This window comes from Homo sapiens, chromosome 3, assembly GCF_000001405.40.
Source record: "Homo sapiens chromosome 3, GRCh38.p14 Primary Assembly".
NCBI classification, from domain to species: Eukaryota; Metazoa; Chordata; class Mammalia; order Primates; family Hominidae; genus Homo; species Homo sapiens.
The window spans coordinates 182,652,937-182,677,817 of NC_000003.12; the positions used below are offsets into that span (position 1 = coordinate 182,652,937).

General features: G+C 37.9%; 1 long non-coding RNA gene across 2 annotated transcripts in view; it reads left to right on the forward strand.

Moving 5' to 3' along the window:
• The window catches only part of LINC02031 (long intergenic non-protein coding RNA 2031), a 30,497-nt gene extending 8,837 nt beyond the window's left edge, over window positions 1-21,660 (forward strand). The window contains exons 4-5 of one of the 2 annotated variants that reach the window (XR_427440.3): window positions 2,886-2,944; window positions 19,145-21,660. This is a non-coding gene — a long non-coding RNA (long intergenic non-protein coding RNA 2031). The remainder of the gene's footprint in view (window positions 1-2,885; window positions 2,945-19,144) is intronic. The other variant, XR_001741038.1, reaches the window with a different exon arrangement.
• Window positions 21,661-24,881: the final 3,221 nt, after the last annotated feature.

Below are 24,881 nucleotides of genomic sequence, written 5' to 3' on the forward strand. Positions count from 1 at the left end.
CATCAAAAAATCATATAAATAGGCAGGGAGCAGTGGCTCACGCCTGTAATCCCAGCACTTTGGGAGGCCAAGGCAGGCAGATCACCTGAGGCTGGGAGTTCAAGACCAGCCTGGCCAATATGGTGAAACCCCGTCTCTACTAAAAATACAAAAAATAGCCAGGTGTGGTGGCACATGCCTGTAGTCTCAGCTACTCAGGAGGCTGAGGCAGAAGAATCTGCTTGAACCCTGGAGGTGGAGGTTGCACTGAGCCAAGATTACACCAATGCACTCCAGCCTGGGCAACAGAGCAAGACTCTGTCTCAAAAAATATATATATATTATATGCAATATATTTTATATATTGTATATAATATATTTTATATATTGTATATGATATATTTTATATACAATATATTTTATGTATTATATATTTTATATTTTACATTTTATATAAATAAATAAATATTTTATATAAATTTTTATATAAATTAATAAATTTTATATAAAATAAATATTTTATATAAATAAATATATATTATACTATATATTATATAATATATAATATATAGTATACTATATATTATATAATATATAATATATAGTATACTATATATTATATATTATATATAATATATATTATATAAATATAATTTATATATTTTATATATATTATATAATATATATTTTATATATAATATATATTTTATATATTATATTATATATTATATAATATATTTTATATATTATATATTTATATTATATATTTTATATATTATATATTTATATTATATATAATATAATATATTATATATTTATATTATATATAATATAATATATTATATATTATATATTTATATTATATATAATATAATATATTTTATTTATAATATATACAATATATTTTATATTTGTTTAATATATAATATATACAATATATTTTATATTTGTTTAATATATAATATATTATAATAAATATTATATATAATATATAATATTATAATATATAATATATAATTGTCATATATAATATATAAAAATATATAATATATTATATATTATATATAAAATATATGTGTATGTTTATATATACACTCACATTTATATATAAATGTATGCATGTGTATATATATATAAATATATGTATTTATATATAAATAAAACTCAACATTTATATTATACATATATGTAAATGTAGAGTTGCAAATGTGGCAAGTACTATGAGTGAAAATTACATGGTCCAATGAGAGTTTATAGTCAATGGATTTGACATAGAGCTATCAGAGAATATGTCCTCTAGGAAATGACAATTTCCATCTCTATAAAGAGAGCAGAAAAAATAATCAAGTTATGGGTGGAGAGATTGGGAAAAGAGAAGCTGCACAGGCAAAGACCATCTGGAAAGAGGAAATAGGATGCATTTCAGAAATCAAAAGTAAACCAAGAACTGCATTACTCACTAGGAAAATGCAAATCCAAACAACGAGTTACCACTTCATAACTATTTACGTGCCTATAATCAAAAAGATGAACAATATCAAATGTTAGCAAAAATGTGGAGAAACTGGAAGCCTCATACGTCACTGGTGGGAATGTAAACTGCTACTGCCACTTTGGAAAACAGTTTGGCAGATTCTCAAAAATATTAAACATAGAATTACCATATGACCAAGTGATTACGCCCCTGGGTATATATCCAAGAGAACATATTCTCTTGGATATATACAAACTTGGATATACAAAAACTTGTACATGAATGTTCTTACCAGCACTACTCATAATGGCCAAAAAGCAAAAACAACCTAAATGTTCATTAACTGATGAATAGATAAACAAAATGTGGTATATCCACATGGTAGAATATTATTTGGCAATAAAAAGGAATGAAGAGCAGATACATGCTACAACCTGAATGAACCTTGAAAAGAGTATGTAAAATAAAAGAAGCCAGACACAAAAGGCCACATATCCTACAATTCCGTTTACATGAAATTTCCAAAACAGACAAACCCATAGAAGCAGAAAGTCAATAGGGTTTGCCAGGGGCTACAGGGGAGGAAAATGAAGAGTAACTGATAAAGGATTTCTTTTTGGGGTGATGAAAATGTTCTGGAATTGGATAGTTGTGACGGTTGCACAACTTTAAAACGTACTAATAAACAACTGAACTTTAGACTTCAAAATAATGAATTTTATGGTATATGAATGATATCTCAATTTTTTTATTATACTTTTAAGTTCTGGGATACATGTGTGGAACGTGCAGGTTTGTTACATAGGTATACATGTGCCATGGTGGTTTGCTGCACCAACCCGTCATCTACATTAGGTATTTCTCCTAATGCTATCTATCCCTTGCCCTCCACCCCACAACAGGCCCCAGTGTGTGATGTTCCCCTCCCTATGCCCATATGTTCTCATTGTTCAACTCCCACTTACGAGTGAGAACATACGGTGTTTGGTTTTCTGTTCCTGTGTTAGTTTGCTGAGAATGATGGTTTCCAGCTTCATCCATGTCCCTGCAAATGACATGAACTCATTCTTTTTTTTTTTTTTTTTTTTCGAGACAGAGTCTCGCTCTTTCACCCAGGCCGGACTGCAGTGGCGCGATCTCAGCTCACTGCAAGCTCCACCTCCCGGGTTCACGCCATTCTCCTGCCTCAACCCCCCTGAGTACCTGGGACTACAGGTGCCTGCCACCATGCCCGGCTAATTTTTTGTATTTTTAGTAGAGACGGGGTTTCACAGGGTTAGCCAGAACTCATTCTTTTTTATAGCTGCATAGTATTCCATGGTGTATATGTGCCACATTTTCTTTATCCAGTCTAACATTGATGAGCATTTGGGTTGGCTCCAAGTCTTTGCTATTATTTTAAGTAAATTTTTTTTTTACTTTTTACTCTCAGGACAAGAGTAGCAAAGAGGATTATGAGCAGTGCAATACAAAACAAGGCTGCAACAAAAGGTAGGAGCTCAATCACGCAGAGTCTTGTAACTTAAAATTTTGGTCTGTGTTCTAAGAGTAATGGAGTCTTTTAAGGGGAAAGTAGTTATGATTAGATTTGAGATAAGAACCATCACTTGGGCTATATTATGGATAACTGATTTAAGAGGGCGAGAGTGAATGGTTAAAAAGGCCAAAGAAGCCTTTATAGGAACCTGGGTGTGAAAAGTTTGTAACATAGAACAAATAAGGAGAAGCAGTGATAGAAGTGGATGTATCTAAGATTATTAGGAAATCATATCTCTACTATTTGATGAGTGTGATGAAGGGTGGTGTCAGAGATGACACTTGGGTTTCTTATTGCATAACAGAATAAAGTGTGGTTTCATTTGCTGAAAAAAGGAATGCTGCTGAACACTGGGCAAAGGCAGGAAGATAACGATCTTAATTTGACATTGAATTGTCAATGAGAATGTCAAGTAAGCTGGTAGACAGAGAAGGCTGGGGCTCAGAAAAGAGGTCTAAACTGTAGCTAGACATCTATGAGACATCTGCATGAGGTGGTCATGGAGGCCACAGGCATGGATGAGAAGAGAAGGCAATGGAGAGGACCTAGGGCCAAGCCTTGAGGAAATCTAATATCTAATGACAAAGCAGAAGACAAAGAGCTACAAAGCAGGTAGAAAGCATGCCCAGGGAGGTAAGGGGAAAACTGGGAGTGTGCTGTCATAGTAACGGTGGAAGAAATTGTTTTGAGAAAGAAGATGTGGTAGGGTTCCCCACATGTCAGTCTTGTCTTATGAAAAACACGTCTCAGGAAAAAGGGAGTCTGTGGTCAACTCTAGTGGGAAATTATTGAATTAAGCAAAGCTAAACAGTTTTCTTTTCTATAGACATCCTCAGATGTTTTCACATATTTATGTGTATTGTCACTCTCCCGTGGAATATACCATATCCCAAATTTACTTGGCCATAGAATGCTTTCTTGGGATGAAACACCTATTAATATGGTTTGAGATTCTGTTTGAGGAAGATTTCAGTAGGCAACATGCTAGTGAAGGTCAGTTGTCAGCCCACCCTCCATAATCCTCTGTAACTAACAGATTTGTGTGGGAAAAAATGGTCCTCTGTCCTTTGCTTCATCTTTGTCCTCCATGACACCAGTACACAAGCCTGTTAGGATACATCCGACTTGAATAAATGGCTGAGGTAACTAGAAATAATACAGTTCAGGAAGGTGAAGTGAGCAGAGGGTACATGGATGGACATAAAATTATATGTGACTTTTCTTACATCTAAGGGTAGAGCATTGTCTTTGTCTATTTGGGCTGCTGTAATAAAACTCCTTAGGCTGGCTGGCTGATAAGCAACAGAAATTTGTTGCTCACAGTGCTGGAAGCTGGGCAGTTCAAGATAAGTTGCCAGCAGATCAGTGTCTGGTGAGGGCTCTGTGCTTCATACAGGGTGGCTTGTTGCTGTGTCTTTACATGGCAGATGGGAAAGAAAGGGAAAATAGGCTGACTCAAGCCTCTTTTTTAAGGACGCTAATCCCATTCATAAGGGAAGAGCCCTCATGACCTAATCACTTCCTAAAGACCCACTTCTTCACAACACCAAAATAAGGATTAGGTTTCAACATGAATTTTAGAAAGACACACACATTCTGACCATATTAAGCATCCAAGAAAATACCTAATAGCAGAAGGAGGGTCCTCATAGTCGAACGCATTCTAGCCCCTAAATTTGCTCCGCTGTATTTACAACCCTGCCTCTCCAATGGAGCATCTCTGCAATGCACATCTCCTCCTACCCTCAGCAAACTGTACTTCTTACCTTCTGGACAGGAACTCTCACCTCAAGTAGCGTTTCTCTTTCCCCTCGTAATATCTTACCCTGAGCCTAAGGTATTCAGACTAGAGAATATTCCTGAAACAGACTGGGTAGGATTTAACACATCAGGCTTGGGGTAATCGAGGTGGATGGCAATGAGGATGCAGATAATAGCTTTAAGGCTCTGAGACCACAAAGCAGTCTAGAGTTGGCCTAAGAATTCCAAGTGGATCTCTATTGGTATTATTAATACATGTTCACCATACAATCTATTCAGTAGCTAACCATTGGAATACACAGAGAGAGACAGAGAGAGGAGAGAGCGAGAGACAGAGAGAGAGAGACAGAGATTTCCAAAGGACCAACATTAATTCTCAGATATGGTATAACTAAAAAGGAGAAAAAATATTTTCCTAACTTCCGTCACATCTTGTGAGATGAAACATTTCACAATGGAATTGATACTTCACATTTTTTTGGCCAGTTTCTTTTGTTCTTTGTACCCCAGCCTGTTTTAAATTGTGCTCCTTCCGATCTACCGAAAACAAGAAACAGTCCCATTGTTAAGCCATATTTTTATAATTACCAAAAGACAGCTTATAAGGAGCCCCATCAACCTTTTCTTAAAATGGAAGAGAATTTGTTTGATTCTGCCAGGAAAATATAGCTTGGTTCTTCACATTCTTAGAAAAACATTTGGAACAAGAAATTGTAGTAAAAGCTTCTTCAATTCTTAAATGCTTAAATCAAACATAGCTAAATTCAGACATATAATTTTTATGCATCATTGAGTTTCCTCATAAGAGATCCTTGAAACTCTGGAACTTCCTAAAGGTAACGATAGGTTCTATGTGTCATTTTCAAGATTTTTAAATATCTAATGGAAATTATACACTTGGTCACCAAAAGGGAGTCTATGATATATACAAGTTTCCTTGGTTTGGATGGGAATTATAGCAATTCAGTGTTGAATATTTATTATTGCACTTTCATCACAATAGTTAACTGGTAGCTATGATTGTCTTTGCTTATTAAAGTCGAAAAACTCGGCCAGGCACAGTGGCTCATGCGTGTAATCCCAGCACTTTGGGAGGCCAAGGCGGACAGATCACCAAAGGTCAGGAGTTCAAGACCAGCCTGGCCAATATGGTGAAACCTCATCTCTACTAAAAACACAAAAATTAGCTGGGCATGGTAATGCATGCCTGTAATCCCAGCTACTTAGGAGGCTGAGGCAGGAGAATTGCTTGAACTCAGAAGGCAGAGGTTGCAGTGAGCCAAGATCACACCATGGCACTCCAACCTGGGCAATAGAGTGAGACTCCATAGCAAAAAAGTAAAAATTAAAAAGTGGAAAAATTCAGAATTACTTAATAAATACAATTTCATGGGGGAAAAGTCTTTCACAATTGGAAGATCATGAGGCAAATGGACTTTTGGTATTAACAATGTTGGAAATCACACTTCAATGTCTCCTGAAACAATGCATTAAATAAAGCAGCTGCTTTCTGGCTTAGTAGTCATATAAGCAGGCAATCTTATGCTGACAAATTTTTGTTTCATTTTCTGTGTTTGTGTTTACAGTTGAAAACATCTCTTCCCTTGCATCCACAAAGTTATAATTATTAGGTATTCCAATTAAAGCCATGTAAGAGCTCATCTATTGTTGCATGATTTTGAAAACATGGTATCTCTTTTGATGACTATGATATTATTAATCAGCTAATTATCATCATTTGAAAAATGTGTGCCCAAGTAGTTTTACAAACACCTTCTCAAAACAAAGTAATTTAAACTCTTAAAATGTGTGCGTTATTTTCAGATAAGATGCATTTTTGCGTGTAATTGTTCAGCTCCAAGCAATGGCAAAAATAAGTATAGGACCCCACAGGAATTGTGTGTTACCTTGTTGACTTCTGATGTTTTTGTGACTCCCTCCAAGCTCAGCACAAGGTATTTGTCTGTCAGCAGTGGTCAGCTAAATGATCAGCTGACACAGCTCTTCACTCCATGGGTCACTGGCAGAACAGACAGGTTCAAATATACAAGATGTTGGCTCTCCCTCTTCCTGAATGCCTTTCTTACTTCATTAAGCTTTAAGCTTAGCTGTTTTTGTTGAAAAATAACACACATTGGCACTCAAAAATATAAGCTCACTGCTAAAATGTAATCTATTAATCTATGGAGGAATAATTTACAGACTGATTCCCAAGGAAGTTTTTTTACAAGGCTAAGATGAGAAGATTTTTCAACTGTGTTTTATTTTGAGGAAGGCTTATCCATACATTCATATAATTATGACACAGCAGTATGACCCAAATGTGGTCACAATTATCCATTCTCCCTCTCTAAATCACACCCATGAATGTAGGAAATATCAGCCATAATTTATATCAAAATAAATATTGACCAATAAAATATATTTGGCATTTTCTCAATGCATCATAAGACAAGTGTTTGACTTAGTGCCATGGTATTATGTTTCTCTGGGAATGGTTGAGAAAGACCAGCAAGTAGAAGAAAAGAAGCATGACTTGGAGCACCATGGGAATAATGCAAACCCTAATATTAAACAAAAATCCTTATTCAATGTAACTGGCAATTGTCCTTTCATTGAGACTATTAAATATGAGATTTAGCTTCCTGAGTTGAGGGAGACCAGAAATCTCATCTCCCTAGTTCATCACTTCATTCCAAGTGTCTGATACTCGGTGCTCATAAATATTTGTGGATGAATGAATGGAGTTTGAAAGAACCTTAGGAAATCTGTCAACAGAAAACTTTGTTTCACAGACGGGGATATTTAAAATCGAAGGAACTATGGTGCTTTCACTGCATCTTGCTAGCATTTCTTGTAGGAGGGCTTGCTCCTCCCCTCTCAAAGGAAGGTCTGTATTCTTTTATTCCAGAACTCTATTTCCTTTAGAACTGACAGGGTTAAAAGTGGCCACTCCTAATGTAAGATGTGTTTTAATTTTATTCCACATCCTACAGTACCAGAATAGTTTCTCTGAGAGAATACTTTGCACTAGGATTGCCCCAACTATGCTTCTCTTGAAGTGATAATAATTGCTGATGAAGGCTGAGGGATGGGCCCAAGGTGACCCTGCCAGCCCAAAATAAAGGGAAACATTGTGAAGTTGGAGGAATTTTAGAAGTCGCTTTGGTGAAATAGAAAGTGTAATTGAAAGCTCAGGATATATTTAGACAGAAAAGATCCTATCCCAATGCCTAGTTTCCACGGTGTTGAAATGTAATCTAAAATCCTTATTATGTAAAGGGGAAGCATTTCCTTTCTCATTTTGAATATGCTTGAGGGCAATGGCATTAGAAGATTTTGTCATTGTACAAAACAGAAATGTATGCTTTGTACATGGTTTTGTACTGGAAGGACACCATTCTACAAACCCAAAATTACATACTGAAGACATAAACCAATGTATACATTCTACAGACTGAAGGGAGAGGTTTAACAACCTGCTATGGTGTTAAAGCCAAATATACACATCCGTGAACCTAAGAGGCTGGACTTCAGCCTTTCAGGACAATGTAAATCAGACCCAAAAGCAGAATTTTCATCTTCCCATTGTTACAAGGCACCCAGCTACATGTGGCCCTAGAAGAGCAACATTCAGACCAGAGAGAACACATAATACACTCCCGTCACTTAGGATCAAAGACAACTGTAACACAACTACACCAAGTGGCATAGGTACAATCTGACACACATAAACCAAACAAATTAATACTTATGTTCCCACTAATTTTTATTACACACAGCATAAGTCTGTTTCACAGGGAAGTGGTGGAAGGAGGGAGAAAAGTCCTGGGGCTTATTTGTGCAGACAGCTTTGAGCCTGAAAGAACTTCTGACCTATTGCAAATATATTCAACATGATATCATGACAGTACTGGGCATTCCAGAAGACCCTGACTACAGAGAAAATTGATGACTGAGTGAGGTGAGGGTATTGTAAACAGGAAACAACAGCCTAGGAGAATGCTCAGGAGTGAGATTGAGATGATTTGACAGGTTACTGGTTAGATGAGCTTGAGAAGCCTGAGAGCCTGAGGCTATAGGAAAGCAGGGAAGATGAGAAAGAAGCAAGCTCTACAGAGACAAGACTGAAGCCCCCAATGTGAAGAGGTTGGCCCTGACCCTACAGAGAGCATCTACTGGACTCCTAGTTTGCCTGGATGAGCATTTGAGAATTCAGGAGTATTTTTCACTTTGATATGCTTGGTTAGAAGCAGTTTGAAGGTAAGAACAATAATCTCCTGTTCTGATTGCATTTATACATATGTGTGAAAAATGAAAATAGGGCATTCAGACACATGGCCAGACCTCCTGGGAACCTGGGAAAATCAGGCTCAAGGGAGTTTCAAGGTCTGAACTGGAAGGACACTCCAGATCCAAGGACCCTCCAGAGGTGAAGTTGTTTGTCCCCCATAAGAGTCCCTAGTCCCCTAATCTGATATTTAGTTACAGAGTTGTAATCAAATATATCTCTAAAGAAATTTTGATTTTCCCCAATAATGTTTACAAGACACCCTCCACAAGACACTTATCATCCTAAAAATGACCAATGTACTTGTTTAGGTGGCTCTATAAATGCTTGTCCTGCTCAGAGGACCCTGTGGTCTCCCTAGTGTGTGCTCTGACACGCAACTGCAGTACTACACACTGAAAAGTGTTGAGACGTGATTGCACCACTCTTGATTTTGTCATTAAGTAGCCAGTTGCCACTGGAAAGAGACTTTTCCTATTTTGCCCAAACTTGACTGAGCATCAGAATCTCTTGGAAGGTTTGTTAAAACATAGATCACTGAGCCCCACCCTCTAGTATTTGTAATTTAACAAACCTGGGGAAGTACCCTTAGAATTCGTATTCCTGAAAAGTTCTTGACTGCTACCTGATGCTACTGGTTCAGGAATGAAACTTCGAGAACCACTGGATTAGAGGACATTATTGTTGACTACTGGTTTTAACATATTAAAAAAAAAAAACCCACCTCCCAAAACTACCAAGATCTATGTTTTTCCAGTGAGTATTTCAATAATGTTCTTATTGGCATCTTCAGCAACAAATTGGTAGTCCAGAGCCAAGCAAACAGTGAACCTCCTGAGGGGTTATTTAGGGAGTGTTCCCGTGGAATAAAGGAAGGAATCTAATATTAACTACAGGCTCAGGTCAAAACTATCACTTGAACTGAATTTCATTAAAGGAGCTAAGAGGCAAAAGGCCAGATCTGAACAATATTTGACTCTGAACACCTGAAATACCTGACTTTGTCAAGATACAGATTAAATGTGGGAGCTGTGAGGCAGTGGGTAATGGGAATCAAGTCAGGGAGACATCTCCTGGAGAACATGGCGGAGATGATGTAGATGCCAATTCCAGGCCAGATTGTTCCAAGGGTATTATGAGAATGAATAAATAAAGGCACATTCTCCAGGTATTGTAGGTGGTTATAGTGTGACGTTTGAAGGAGATTAAAAAATAATCAATATCCAAAAGTACCCGTAATATATCATGTAGGGAACTTTTCAAAAATACCAATTCCCAGGCCCTAGTTCAGACCTTAAATAGAATCCCTAGTGGTAGAGCATAGATATCAATATTTTTTTAATCTCCCAAGTGATTCTGATTGATAGCAGATTAAAAATCACTTGGCTGGTTGCAGTGGCTCACATCTGTAATCCCATCACTTTGGGAGGCCAAGGTGGGAGGATTGATTGAGTCCAGGAGTTCAAAACCAGCCTGGTCAACATAGCAAGACCCTGTTTCTAATAAAAATAGAATTTTTTTTAAATCACTGGGATAAATAACAATCTTGCTATCCTTGGTATGTTTAGGGTAGTATGAGGAGACAAAGTAGAAAAATAGATGCAAAAGAAAGAAACAGGCCAAAATATGTCAATAATCAGGAAAAAAAAACTTGAGTGAATCAAACTTTCAATTTTAAAGACAGATATTTATATAGTGGACAAATATACAAAGATCCAGATATGTTTACAAAAGACACACTATAAATAAAAGAAGCCAGGCACAGTGGCTTACACTTATAATTCCAGCACTTTGGGAGGCAAAGTTGGGAGAACTCCTTGAGCCCAGGAATTTGAAACTGCAGTGAGCTATAACTGCACCACTGCACTCTAGCCTGGGCATCAAAGCAAGACCCTGTCTCTTTAAGAATAATAATAGATTAAATAAATACAAACAAATACAAACAAAAGGACAAAAGAGTTTAAAAATAAAAGGATGGAAAAGCATATTCCTCCAAAATACTAACCAAAAGAAAGCTGCAATTGCTAGGTTAGCAGCTACAATAGAATTTAAGACAAGCATAATTAAAGACTAGGGTTTAATCCATAATTATAAAATGTTAAATTGTTCAGAATAACAATTGTAAACTTATATGCACCCAGTAAAATAGCTTCAAAATATATAAAGCAAATAAATATTAATAGAATTACACTGAGAAGTTAACAAATCAATGTTGTATTCAGAGGTGGCTACTAATTTAAAAGACTCTTGGTTTTTTTAACACCCTAATTCTTCCATGCTTATGCAAATGGTAGATATAATTAGCTGCTCTGAATAGGGCAAACTTATACTGGCTCACTACTCTATAGTAGTATAGTGTAACAGAGAAGTAATGCACATTTTCCCAATATAGATACAGAAAACATTTAAAGTTGGGGTGAAAATTAAAATATGAATAATTCACTCCCTTTTATATATAAATAGCTTTGATTAAAAATAATTTTCAGGAGCAGTTTAGATTACTAACCTGGAATACTGCGATAGAATCCTAATTGACCTTCCCATTTCACCCACTATTTTTTTTTTTTTTTTGAGATGGAGTCTTGCTCTATAGCCCAGACTGGAGTGCAGTGGCACAGTCTTGGCTCACTGCAACCTCCACCTCCTGGGTTCTAGCAATTATTCTGCCTCAGCCTCCCAAGTAGCTATAATTACAGGCATGCACCACCACGCCTGGCTGATTTTTGTGTTTTTTTTAGTAGAGACTGGGTTTCACCATGTTGGCCAGGCTGGTCTCAAACTCCTGACCTCAGGTGATCTGCCCACTTCAGCCTCCCAAAGTGCTGGGATTACAGGCATGAGCCACCGCACTCGGCCTGAGGTACCTACTCTTGATCTGGCTATCCTTAAGGGCTTCAGATAGCAACCTGTTATTCTTTAATAACACCTTTTGTCATTGTGTTCATAATTTATAATAGTGTTCATAACACTAGTTATAATTTTATGTTAATTTCTATGCTCATTTCTATGTAACTGTCTATCTCATAACTATAAGCTCCATGAGAACCAGAACCAAGTCTATTTTTTTTAGGGCCACATACCCAGCATTTAACAGAGTGTCTGGCACCTGGAAGGCATCCAATAAATGTTTCTGAATATTTTCATAGAATTTAGAACAGGTAAGAGACAAAGAAGTTCAGCCCATGCTATCTAACTAAAAGTATACATTTCACCAGAAAAAATTACACCAGAAAAAAATCATTAACTAAAACAAGTTTTATTTCTAAATCATGAAGCAAAATGACCACGCCTAGCTATCATATGCTGGTTTTGGTTCAGCTAAGTCTTCCTAACTAGATGCTTTATATAGGAAAAGATAGTTCCTCCACTCACTAATAAAGAGATCACAATGATATGTGCTAATGTATCTATTAAGTAATTGCATAAAAGATGGCTGAAAGACAAAATGAGCATAAAATTTCAGAGGGGGATGAAGTCTCAAGTATTTTTCTACAATTTTTTCTGTTGGGAATTATTTACAGAAATAAAATGTTTTGGTGTGAAAGATATGAAATAGTGTGAAAGATATAAAATAGTGCCCTAGACCTTTCTATATTGTGCTCATAATTTTAGTAAATATACAATAAGATACAAAATATCAATAATGGAAATAGAATTTATTGACAACATGGGCCGTTTACTTTTTGAAATAACTTCTATCCTCATTTTACTTTCATCTATGTTTACCTGTTCAGTTTATGTTCAAAACTAAACTCATGAACTTCCAAAATCAGTTCTTACTTGGATTTTCTATATTATGATCCAGTCTTCAAATTTAGAAACATAAGAACCATTTGTGTATGTTTGTTTGTTTGTTTGTTTGTTTGTACATTTGTTTGGGGGTGGGCGATTGAGGCAGAGTCTCATTCTGTCACCCAGTCCGGAGTGTAGTGGCTCAATCATAACTGACTGCAACCTCAAAATCCCGGGCTCAAGCAGTCCTCTGGCTTCAGCCTTCCTGGTAGCTGAAACTACAGGCACTCTCCACCACACCCAAACTAATTTATTTTGTTTTTTGCAGAGACAGGGTCTCACTGTGTTGCCCAGGCTGGTCTCGAACTCCTGGCCTCAAGCAATCCTCTCACCTTGACTTCCTCAAGTGTTGGAATTACAAGTATGAGTCATGACGCCCTGCTGGAACCATTTTTAATATGTCCTAATTTTGTGTGTGTGTGTGTGTGTGTGTGTGTGTGTGTGTGTGATTAATCTTGTTATTGACTCTTCGAAAATGCTTCCTTAAACCTAAAATCTATCTATAGCATTTATTCAGTAATTCCTTTCTCCTAGAAAAAAATCAGAAATAAAGACAATATAGATATGAAAAAAAATTATCACATCATTATATATAATAGTAAAAAAATCATAGAAAAAATATGTCTCGGCCGGGCACGGTGGCTCACGCCTGTAATCCCAGCACTTTGGGAGGCCGAGGCGGGCGGATCACGAGGTCAGGGGATCGAGACCATCCTGGCTAACCGGTAAAACCCCGTCTCTACTAAAAATACAAAAAATTAGCTGGGCGTGGTGGCGGGCACCTGTAGTCCCAGCTACTCGGGAGGCTGAGGCAGGAGAATGGCGTGAACCCGGGAGGCGGAGCTTGCAGTGGGCCGAGATCGCGCCACTGCACTCCAGCCTGGGAGACAGAGCAAGACTCCATCTCAAAAAAAAAAAGAAAAAGAAAAAAGAAAAATATGTCTTATATATCCATCAATGGGAAATTAATAAATAAATTTCTATATCCATGAAAGAAAATACCTTCATTTTTGCAAGGAATATCTAATATGCAAAAAATACTTATAAAATACATTGAGGCTGAGCACAGTGGCACATGCCTGTAATCTCAGCACTTTGGGAGGCTGAGGCAGGAGGATCACTTGAGCCCACGAGTTTCAGACCAGCCTCAGGAACACAGTGAGACCTCATCTCTACAAAAAAATATTTAAAAATTAGCCAGGCATGGTGGTGCACACCTGTATTCTCAGCTACTCAGGAGGCTGAGGTGGGAGGATGACTTGAGCCCACAAGACTGAGGCTTCAATGAGCCATCATCATGCCACTGCACTCCAGCCTGGGTGACAGAACAAGACCCTGTCGATAGATAGATAGAAAGAGAGAGAGAGAGAGAGAGAGAGAGAGATGATAGATAGATGATAGAGACTAAAAAGATATATAATAAAACGTTAACTTTTTACATTTCTATATTTTACACATTTTCTACAATTTTTTTAAATAAAAGGGCAAATCAAGTTATTAAGAAGTAAGGGGAAAAGAAAGAGAAGAAGGAAAAGAAGAAGGATAGAAGGGAGGGAGAATTTCTTAGATGTATTTTCTCCTGTCTATTGGTACTTGAACCACTAAATTTCAATGCGTGGTCATGGCACCTCTGGATCTAGCTCTAGCATCTCTTCCTCCCATCCCTCCACCTACTGCCGCTACTGTGGCTCCGTTCAAGAACTCCACTGGGTCAAAATTTCTCTGTCAAGAGTAAAATGAAAGGTACACACTCATATTCTCCTAGCGGAAATATAAATTGGAACAACATTTCTGTAAGACAATTTAACAGGATATACCAATAACCTTTAAAATGTTTGTATATTTTAGACCAAGTCATGTCATTCTAATAATTTCTCCTGTGAAGAAGAAAGTGAGATTAGTTTTTAAAGCATTCTCATGGATAGTGTTATATGTTAGAGGAGAAAAAAAATAGAGCAATTTCCAGCAATAATAGACTTTGACTTAAAGCAAGGCCACAAAATGTAATATTATGTGGCCATCACAGATGATGCTTCCAAAAAATAAGTAAAGGCACACAAAAATGCTGGCAATGTCGTGTTAAATATTAAGAGCAGTTACAAAAATTTATGAATAGTATTATCCCAAGTCATGTTTTAGTTATAAAAGTAAATATTTACGTAGAGAAAAAAGCAACTAGAAGGAAGCATACCAAAGTGGCTGTCTCTGAGTGGTAGAATCATGGAATGCCCTTCTTTTCTCTCCTTTGTTATTTCTATCTTCTACTATAAAGAAGTATATCTGGCCAGGCGCGGTGGCTCACTCCTGTAATCCCAGCACTTTGGGAGGCTGAGGCGGGCATATCATCTGAGGTCAGGAGTTCGAGACCACCCTGGCCAACATGGTGAAACCCCAACTCTACTAAAAATACAAAAACTAGCTGGGTGTGGTGGTGGATGCCTGTAATCCCAGCTATTCAGGAGGCCAAGGCAGGAGAATCGCTTGAACTCGGGAAGCAGAGGTTTCAGTGAGCCAAGATTGTACCATTGCACTCCAGCCTGGGTGACAGAGCAAGACTCCGTCTCAAAAAAAAAAAAAAAAAAAAAAGAAAGAAAGAAAGAAAGAAAAAAGGAAAAAAAAAAGTATGTCTGCCTTATCAGCCTTGTCTTTTATGACCACTCCTTCAGTCAGATGGTCTTTTTCCAGAACACCATGTTCTTTCCCACCTCCACGCCTTTGCTTATACTGAGCCTGCTACCTAGAATTCTCATCTCCTTTTTCTCCAAGAGCAAGCTTCGATCTCTCCATCTCTATAAAGGCTTCCCTGTCTGTCTATGTTGATCTTCAGCCATCGCTTTTTTTTCTGAACTTCTGCTCTTCCTCAGTCAGTGGCATGATATGCCATTTCCCAAGGGCATAAATCATCTCCTTTAATCTTCAAACCTCCCTGGGAGATTTTCATTATTATATCCATTTTGTTGGTGAGGATACTGTGTGAATCAGAGAGATTAGGTAACTTGTACAAGACACTGTTTCATTACTCTTTAATTATTTCATGTTTTTACATGCTTCGTCTCTTCACCAAGATTATAAGCATATTGTTTTCCAGGATCTTATTTTATGCAATACTATCTTACTCATCTGATACTCAAGAATGAATCTTTACCATAATTTTATTTTCAAATTGTTTGCTTTAATTATCAAACAGTATTTTATGTTAACCTCTTTTAATCATTTTAACAATAAATTGAGTATTGTGAGCCTTTTTCTCCAATATGTAGAATCAATATAATTATCAGTTGTGGTACCATGCTGTATCACAATGATACTCTCAAAGACTATTAGGGAATAGGGCAATTTGCCCTTGTACCAAATGTCTGCTACAGAATCCTAGTATGTCTTACATAAGTATTACCAGTTAGACTCATGTATCTAATTCCTCTCCTCTCCTCCCTCCTACTCTAAAATGAACAGATGAGCTCATTTTAGCAAGTACAGTATCATGTCTATGCATTTCCAGCTGCATCTGTCTGTTGATAAAAGGAACTTAGTACTGAAACACAACTGGACTAACTGTAATTGAAACTGTAATGAAAAATGAGCAATTTAAATAATGGGTCAGATAACAAAAATCTGTTTTACTTCAAGAATCCTTACATAAGATTTATATATTGCAAATTTCCTGTTAAATTCTTGCTTGATTGATAGACAATATATTATATGCAATCAGACACATACATATACTACAATTATTGCTACTGAAAGTCTATTCAGATTCATTTGTTGTAAGATTAGACTTACAGTTTTCCAAGTTTGCCTTATGAAAGGAATTGAAAGAGGCCTTTGGAAATATTCAATATAATAGTTTGAAATATTCAGATTCCAAGACTTTCCCCTGGAAATTCTGACTCTGTTGATGTGGGTTGGAATCTGAGAATCTATTCTTTTTTAACAAGCATTCTAGATGATTCCAAGGTTTTCTCACAAATCTAAATGGGGTTTGTGGGCAAACTACTCTCTCAGTTCCTGCATATCAATGTATTTTTTTTTAATTCTTCATGACAAAAGAATATCTTAGCTGGGTATAGGACCCTTTCCCTTCTTTCAAAAAATGATGAGAGCTTACTAAGGGTCTGTTCTCAGTGACAGCAGTGAACAAACAAGTCCTCCATTCTTACAGTGCCCATATTCTAGTGGGAAAAAGAGATACAATAAACAAACACAGGTAAGCAGATAAGTGCTATAACTTATAGGAAATAAAGTGAATAAGGCAGATAGAGAATGACCCAGAAGAGAGTTGCCATTTTATTAAAATGTAGGGGGTTAGAGAAGGCCTCCTTGATAAGATAATACCTGAACAAAGACCTGAGGAAGGGAGGGAGCCATGTGGAGTTGGGCAAAGTGTGTTCTAGGCCAGATGCAAGGCAGGTGTTGTGACTGGCGGGTGTGAGCAAGGGGAGAAGGATCAGAGACTGTTCAAAAGGAAAGGAGATGCCAGGTGCGGTGGCTTATACCTGTAATCCCAGCACTTTGGGAGGCTGAGGCAGGTGGATCACAAGGTCTAGACATCGAGACTGTCCTGCCCAACATGGTAAAACCTCATCTCTACTAAAAATACAAAAATTAGCTGGGCGTGGTGGCGTGCGCCTGTAGTCCCAGCTACTCAGAAGGCTGAGGCAGGAGAATCACTTGAGTCCAGGAGGCGGAGGTTGTAGTGAGCCGAGATTGTGCCATTGCATTCCAGCCTGGGTGACAAGAGCGAAACTGTCTCAAAAAAAAGAAAGAAAGAAAGAAAGAGGAAGGAAAAAGGAAGGAAGGAAGGTAGGAAGGAAGGAAGGAGGGAGGGAAGGAGGGAGGGAGGGAAAGAAGGAAGGAAGGAAGGAAGGAAGGAAGGAAGGAAGGAAGGAAGGAAGGAAGGAAGGAAGGAAGGAAGGAAGGAAAGGACAGAGAGAGAGAGAAAAGGAGAGATGGGAACCTCTAAGGGGTCTTGAGCACGGAAGTGTTGTGATGGGACCATTGTGATCTGAATGTCCAGGTGAGAGATCACGGTGGCTTGAATCCACTATTTGGAGCAAAGTTTCACTGGTTTCTTGCCTTTTTCTCTCAGATAAATTAGATTACGATGATTTCATCTCAGTTTTCTGTAGAGGCTATATGTCATTGCCTTCCGGCTTCCATGTTTCAAATGAAAAGAAGAACGACACGCTACCTCTTTTCACTTTTTTAAGTAACTTGTCCTTTCTGTTTGGAGACTTATAAGACTTTCCTGTTTATCCTTGAACTAATATTTACAATGAAGCAGACAAAGTCTGTAGGATAGAGTTAAGTTGTCAGATCAAGGTCAGAAAAACACAAAATTGGCGATAAGAAAACAATTGGAAGCCCTGAACCTGAGCACATAGACCAAAATGGGCTAAGGGCAAAAATTCAGATTTTGAAGGAAGTTCCTGGGGCCTTTACGTGGCTGTAGGGCAGCTGCCCTTCCCCAGTCAGCCTCAGCTCAAGCCAGTTAACCTTAGATCCCAGCCCCCAAGCTGCACTAACATCCTACATCTTATGCCTTTACTATCACTTTCCTTTGCAAAAAAAAAAACAAAAAAACACGTGGTCAGAGTTATACTTGGGACCATTTCACTGGCCACATATGTTGACAAATTTAAATTCTGTACGTCTACTTTCATCTCTATTCATAAGCATCTGTTCTAGATACTTACTTAGTACTTAGATAGATCTAAGTATCTATTCACTATATCTGTGGCCCTGAAAGAACTTGGATATATTTATTCAAATGTATAAGTAGAAATTCTGCTTTATTTAGATGCATTTCTTGATTTTTTATTTCATATTTGGCTAAAAGCTGAGTTCATTCATGTCTATAAAAAGTCGATCTCATTTTGGATGTAAGCAGGGAAGAGCCTTGAAGAAAGTATTTATGCCTTGTGCTATTTGGTGGGGGGAGGGGTAGAAGGAGCAGGGAAGCCTGGCTGAATAAAGGGTAAGTGAGAGAAATGAGACAAGGCTCCTCCATCTCCTGTGGAGGGTGAGTTAGAGCACAGACTCAGGAAACTATGTCAAGAAATGAGCGAGTGTCTAATGGGAGATTGCTGTAGGAAAGCAAATGACTGTAATATCTGATAATGATCCACAGAAAGATAAAAGTGTGATAAGGACAAATCACTTCTTATTCTATTCTTTATGTCCTTCCCTCCTCTGCCTCCTCAGCTAGTAGAATCTGCCTTGCTCCCACTCCCTCCCTGTCGCCCACAATCTCTGCATTTTTTTCTCTCATCCATTCTATGAATATCTTCATCTGCTATTTCTGTGGTTTCAGATGAAGAAATACTTCAGTGCATGCCGTGTGCAGCCTAGAAGTTACATATGCAATTGTAGATGAAGCTAACTGACCAGGCGACACCAGGAGGAGCACGAGGACCAAGAGAACTAAGTGGGCAAGATGCCCAGGCAGTGGACAGAAAACAGAGAACAACAACATCCAAAGAGCCACCTGGAGAACAGATGGGGACCGGGGACCAGAATGCTCTTCCTAAATCAAATAGAAAACAGGAAGGCTGTCCAAAGATTTGGGGGGCCAGGAGAGTGAGCAATACAGAAGGGATTGTGACCACCAAGCTCCCTTTCTAGAGAATGTGTCCAAAGCAGGTCCAGGCAGACTGGGGGTGGGAGAGGAGAATTCACATTAAATATTTATAATGTGCACAATGAGTTCTAGTGGGAAATCTCAGAAGATGCCACCATTTCCAACTTTAAAATACCCTTCTTCTTCAATGTCTGTGTGTGTTTTTAGGAATCCAAATACAATAAAATATTCATCATGGAGAGTTTTTGATGGTAAAAGAGTATCCCAGGGAATATCTTCTGATGTTGTATCGTCACCCTTTGTGGAATTTTCTCCCTCTCACTTCATTCTTTATTGGGTTGGAATTGGGATAAAAGAGTAGAGTGGGTCATAAGGTCCTGTTCCAAGTAATTAGAGAGTTTTTTCTTTTATCTAAATGTGCCTTGTTAAAGTATATCAGTGTCAGCCAGGTTAATTGGAACTTTAATACATAATTGATGCTAATTTATGGCTCTTTTTGTTCCAGGATGCTACTGCAGACCTTAAAGTCAGGATACAGTTTTCTTGTTATTAATTATATACAGAAAGCCAATATCCCCTATGAGAAGAGACTCATGTCATCTGTAGCTTATTAAAGATACAGTATGTCAGCCATAGGTCACTTTTACTGCTTATGCCCCCAGTAAACTCCACATTACTCCATAATAACATAATACACTAATCACAGTAAATAAAAATTAGAATTTTAAGTTAAAGCTCATAGCATACTGTATATTAAAATGTTAACATACAATGTTTTAAAAAGTGTCATGTTTCTATGGATTCATTGTATTCCACAGGGCCACAGAAACCTGGAATCATTTTGGAAATCAGTATACCATCTTGAAACCAAAAATGTCTCCATAAATATGAAGGCAATAGCAATGCCGTCACTGAGTCTGCCATGAAGTCAGAATGCCAAATGAAGACTATAAAACTTGGATTTGCTTGCAGAGTTTCCACTGAAATTCGAATTCTTGGTTAGTCACTTTTTTGGAGACAGAGAAAAATGATGTGTTCCAAATCCAATTAAAGATTCTGTGTTCTAATTTTCTTCTATTGTGAGGAATTCAGTAGATGAAAGTACAGGATCGTGCAAGATTTATAAGCCACATAAGCCCACATGTTGTCCAAATGGACTTAGCCAAAACCTTGAGCAAGAAATTGAAGGAAAGGGGAAGTCCAGTAGTATGAACTTACTTGATGAATAGCAGTGCTAGATTTACAGATGGATAAAAGATGCTACATTTGCCAATGTTGCTTCGTGACTATTCCATTTTGCAGGAGTGAAGAATGGATGACTTTATATAAATTTAGTGCTTCAGAATTTTTCTAATATGTCACCATGTTGATGTTCAACTTAACATTGCCATGATGTGATCAGATATGACATAACGTGATAAATAGCAGGAGTGTCTCACGATGGAACATGACACAACATGGTGTGTCAAGTTTCTTTTGAACCTTTCTCGGGATCCAATATCAGCCAAAAGGAGGTCATTTTAATTATCAGATGATTAATTAATTAGATAGTTAATTGTCACAGGTAGATTAATCCAAAGACAATGTGGTTCTGTACATGCACGTTTGTAGACAGAGGAAAACGTGACTTTTTAAAACGTACCTAGCTAAATTAAAAGACACTAAAGTTTAAGAACGTGACTCATTGTTTATTCAAATAACATTCACAAACGACTAGGATGCCAGATGTTGTGCCAGATGTTGTGTGAAGCATGTTCAGAAGTAGAAAATCATCCCTGCCCTCAAAGGGCTGATGATCGAGTTGAAAACATAAAGCTTTCTTTAAAACAATCTGGACATCTAGAGAATGTTCAATAATTTTTTTTAAGTTAAAAACTAAGGAACAGTTTTAAGGCAATGAATCTTTTTAAATGAACTATTTCCAGTACTTTGCCACTGTTTGCTTTTTAGGGAAAGCTGTCATATTCCAGGAACAAGGGTAACTGCAAAGTAATTTTTTTTAATCATAGTAATGAAATCCCAGTTTCAGACATTCTATGAGTTAGATGTAAACCAAAAAAAATTAAAACCCCATGAAAAACTTTAATAAATCAGTTTTTTAAAGTTATTGTCTACTTTTTATTTTTCTGCTAAAAGCAGAAATCCAAGACATGACAAATACTTAGTTTTCCAAAAAGAGCTGGAATCTTATAACCTTTATGTAAAAGGCTGCCAATATTGTAAGTTCCTTTATACATATTTAGAAGGGATTTTTTTTTTTTTTGAGATGGAGTCTCGCTCTGTCGCCCAGGCTGGAGTGCAGTGGCACAATCTACGCTCACTGCCACCTCCGCCTCCCGGGTTCAAGCGATTCTCCTGCCTCAGCCTCCCAAGTAGCTGGGACTACAGGCACATGCCACTACGCCCGGCTAGTTTTTTGTATTTTTAGTAGAGATGGGGTTTCACTGTGTCAGCCAGGATGGTCGTGATCTCCTGACCTCATGATCCGCCTGCCTCAGCCTCCCAAAGTGCTGGGATTACAGGCATGAGCCACCGCGCTCGGCCAGAATTTTTGACAATCAATGGCAATTAATGTATCATGCAAAATCATGTCAAGTGCATTTCTTAAAGTATCTATTTGTATGAGATTTTGTCCTAGGCGTTATAAAACAAAATAAGCATATAGTTAATGTTCTGCAATCTAAGATGTAAAGTACTTTTCATTATTCTAAACTAATAAAGCAGTTTTTGTTTTATTCCCTCAACTCCACAACATTTGTAATTAGTTCTATTGGCCTTTCTGGTCCTCTCTTCGTCTGCAAAATGAGAATCTACTCCCCGCTCACAGAGCCCAACGATTGACAACCACTCTAAATCATTTGTGCTGTTTTCTAATCATAGTATGTTAAAAATCAAAGATTACAATAGTATTAGGAGGGATTTTAAGATGAGAAAAGAGCTAAAGTGAACTTTAGTTGTGTGAGCTAAAATAGTAAAAGCTCCCAGGACTTCCTTTTAATATAGTTGAAGCAATTGTAATTCATTGCCTTTTAAGATGCTTTTCACAGCAATATTATTCTTGATCCTTTGCTTTCCCTTATGTCTACTGCTAATCCAACAGCAAGTTTCGCATATTCTGTCTCCAAAGCATACCTGAATCTATGCGTTCTCTCCATGTCTAGCACCACTTCTCTGTCCAGGTTTCACTGTTTCTCCCCAGAAGGACTGCAGTGGTCTCTTCAGGTTGGTGTTCCCCAACCCAGACCATCCCCTGCACCTCCATAATAGTGAAGCGCTTTCAATGCACCTCAGTGGGTCTCACCAAGCCCCCTTATTATCAATAGACAATCTTTCTTATTTCACTGAGAAACTAGAAGCAAATCAAGAAGAACGTTCACAAAGTTTTGCCACCCCATCTAGACACAAACTTGTGTCCACATTCGTGCATTCTGCCTTCCTTTCCATTACTCTGGATGAATTGTTTGCATTCCTATCTAAAGGCCACCCTTCCACTTGTCTTCTAGATCCCATTCCTTCTTACCTACTTGGTGACTTTACTGCAATGATTTTCCCCTCTCCAGCATCACCAGTTTTTCCTTCTCTAATGGATTATTCCCACCGACAAATAAACCCACTATAATCGCTCACAGTGTACAAAAGAAAATTCTCCCGAGACCTCACTCTCCCACCGCCCAATCACTGCTCTGTGAACCTCTCCCTTGAACTTCAGGTCCATGTATTCCCCTCCCCATGAAACACCTCCACATGGATGTCTAAAAAGCACCTCAAAGGTAACATGTTCAAACTGAGCTCCCAGCCTTCCCTCAAACCTGCTCTTCATGCAGTCTTCCTCATCTCAGCGAATGGTATGCAGTACTTCCAACTACTCAGTTCAAAAACCTTGCCTCGTCTCTGTTTCTCATTAGAAAATCCTGTCATTTTACTGCATCTACTTTTGAATGACGTTTCATCAACTGTTCCGCTACCACCCTAGCCTAACCCACCATCTCCCCTCTTCTAAATTACTGCAATAGCCTTCTAGGCAGACCCCTACTACTTCCACTCTTATCTCCCTTCAATCTATTCTCAACACAGCAGCCAGAATAAGCCTTTTAAACATAAGTTAGATGATGCCTTTCCTCTGCTCTAATCCCTCCAATGACTCCTCATCTCATACAGAGCAAAAGTCAGAGTACTTACAATAATAAGTATATTATATATATATACTTATCTTGTAGGGATATATAGACAGATATATCCCAACATGACCTGAGCCCATCACCTCTCTGACTTCATTGCCTTCTGTTCCCTCCTTGTGCATCTCACCCCAGCTGTACTGGGCTCCTAGCTTGAACATACCAAGAATGCTTCTGCTTCAGCATTTTTGCCTTTGCTCTTCCCTCTGCCTGGAAAGCTGATCCCCTAGAGATCCTTGAGAGCCCATTTTCTCTTCTGTTTCAGGTCTGTGCACACATTCACCTTCTCAGTGAGGGCTTCCCTGATGCCCTAGATGAAACAGCACATCCTTCCACCTCACAAACCAGACACTCTATCTTCCTGTCCTGTTTTCTTTTCCTCCATAACATTGTCTAACACACTCTGTTAGCTCCTTGAAAGCAGGGAGATTTTTGTCTTTTTTGTTCACTACTAAATGCTCATGCCTAGAATAATGCCTGGTCTATAGTTGTCACTCAAAAAATATTGCATGAAGGCCAGGCGCGGTGGCTCACGCCTGTAATCCCAGCACTTTGAGAGGCCAAGGCAGGCAGATCGCCTGAGGCCAGGAGTTCAAGACCAGCTTGGCCAACATGGTGAAACCCCATCTCTACTAAAAATACAAAAATTAGATGGGCATGGTAGCATGCATCTGCATCCCAGCTACTAGGGAGGCTGAGGCAGGAGAATTGCTTGAACCCAGGAGCAGAGGTTGCAGTGAACTGAGATCGCTCCACTGCACTCCAGCCTGGGCAAAAGACTCCTCAAAAAAAAAAAAATGCATGAACTAATGAAAATTTGTTTCCAAAACTAATGCCTGATGTTGGTAAGGGTGCAGGGCCACATATACTCTTGTATTCTGCTGATTAAAATATAAATTTTAACAACTTTCTGGTGGCTAGTTGGGTAATAGGAATCCAAAATCCTAAAAGCATAGATATTATTCAACCAGCAACTTCACTTCCGTAATTGAGCCTAAGGAAATTATCGTAGATATGTGCCAAAAAGTTTATATAGGGATATTTATTGCAGTACTCCCTGCAGTAATGAAAAAATTGGAAACAATCCTAAATGTCAAATAAAAGGGATTTGACAGGATAAACTACAATATGGTACATCTATACAATGAAATTCTATTCAGCTAGTCGTGATATTATAGGACATCATAGAACAATCTGCAGTGTTAATGATAGATATTAGAGAATAAAATCAAATTTTGTGAGATAACAATATTTGCAGAGAAAACAATTGGCAGTAGAGCACCTTTATTTATCTC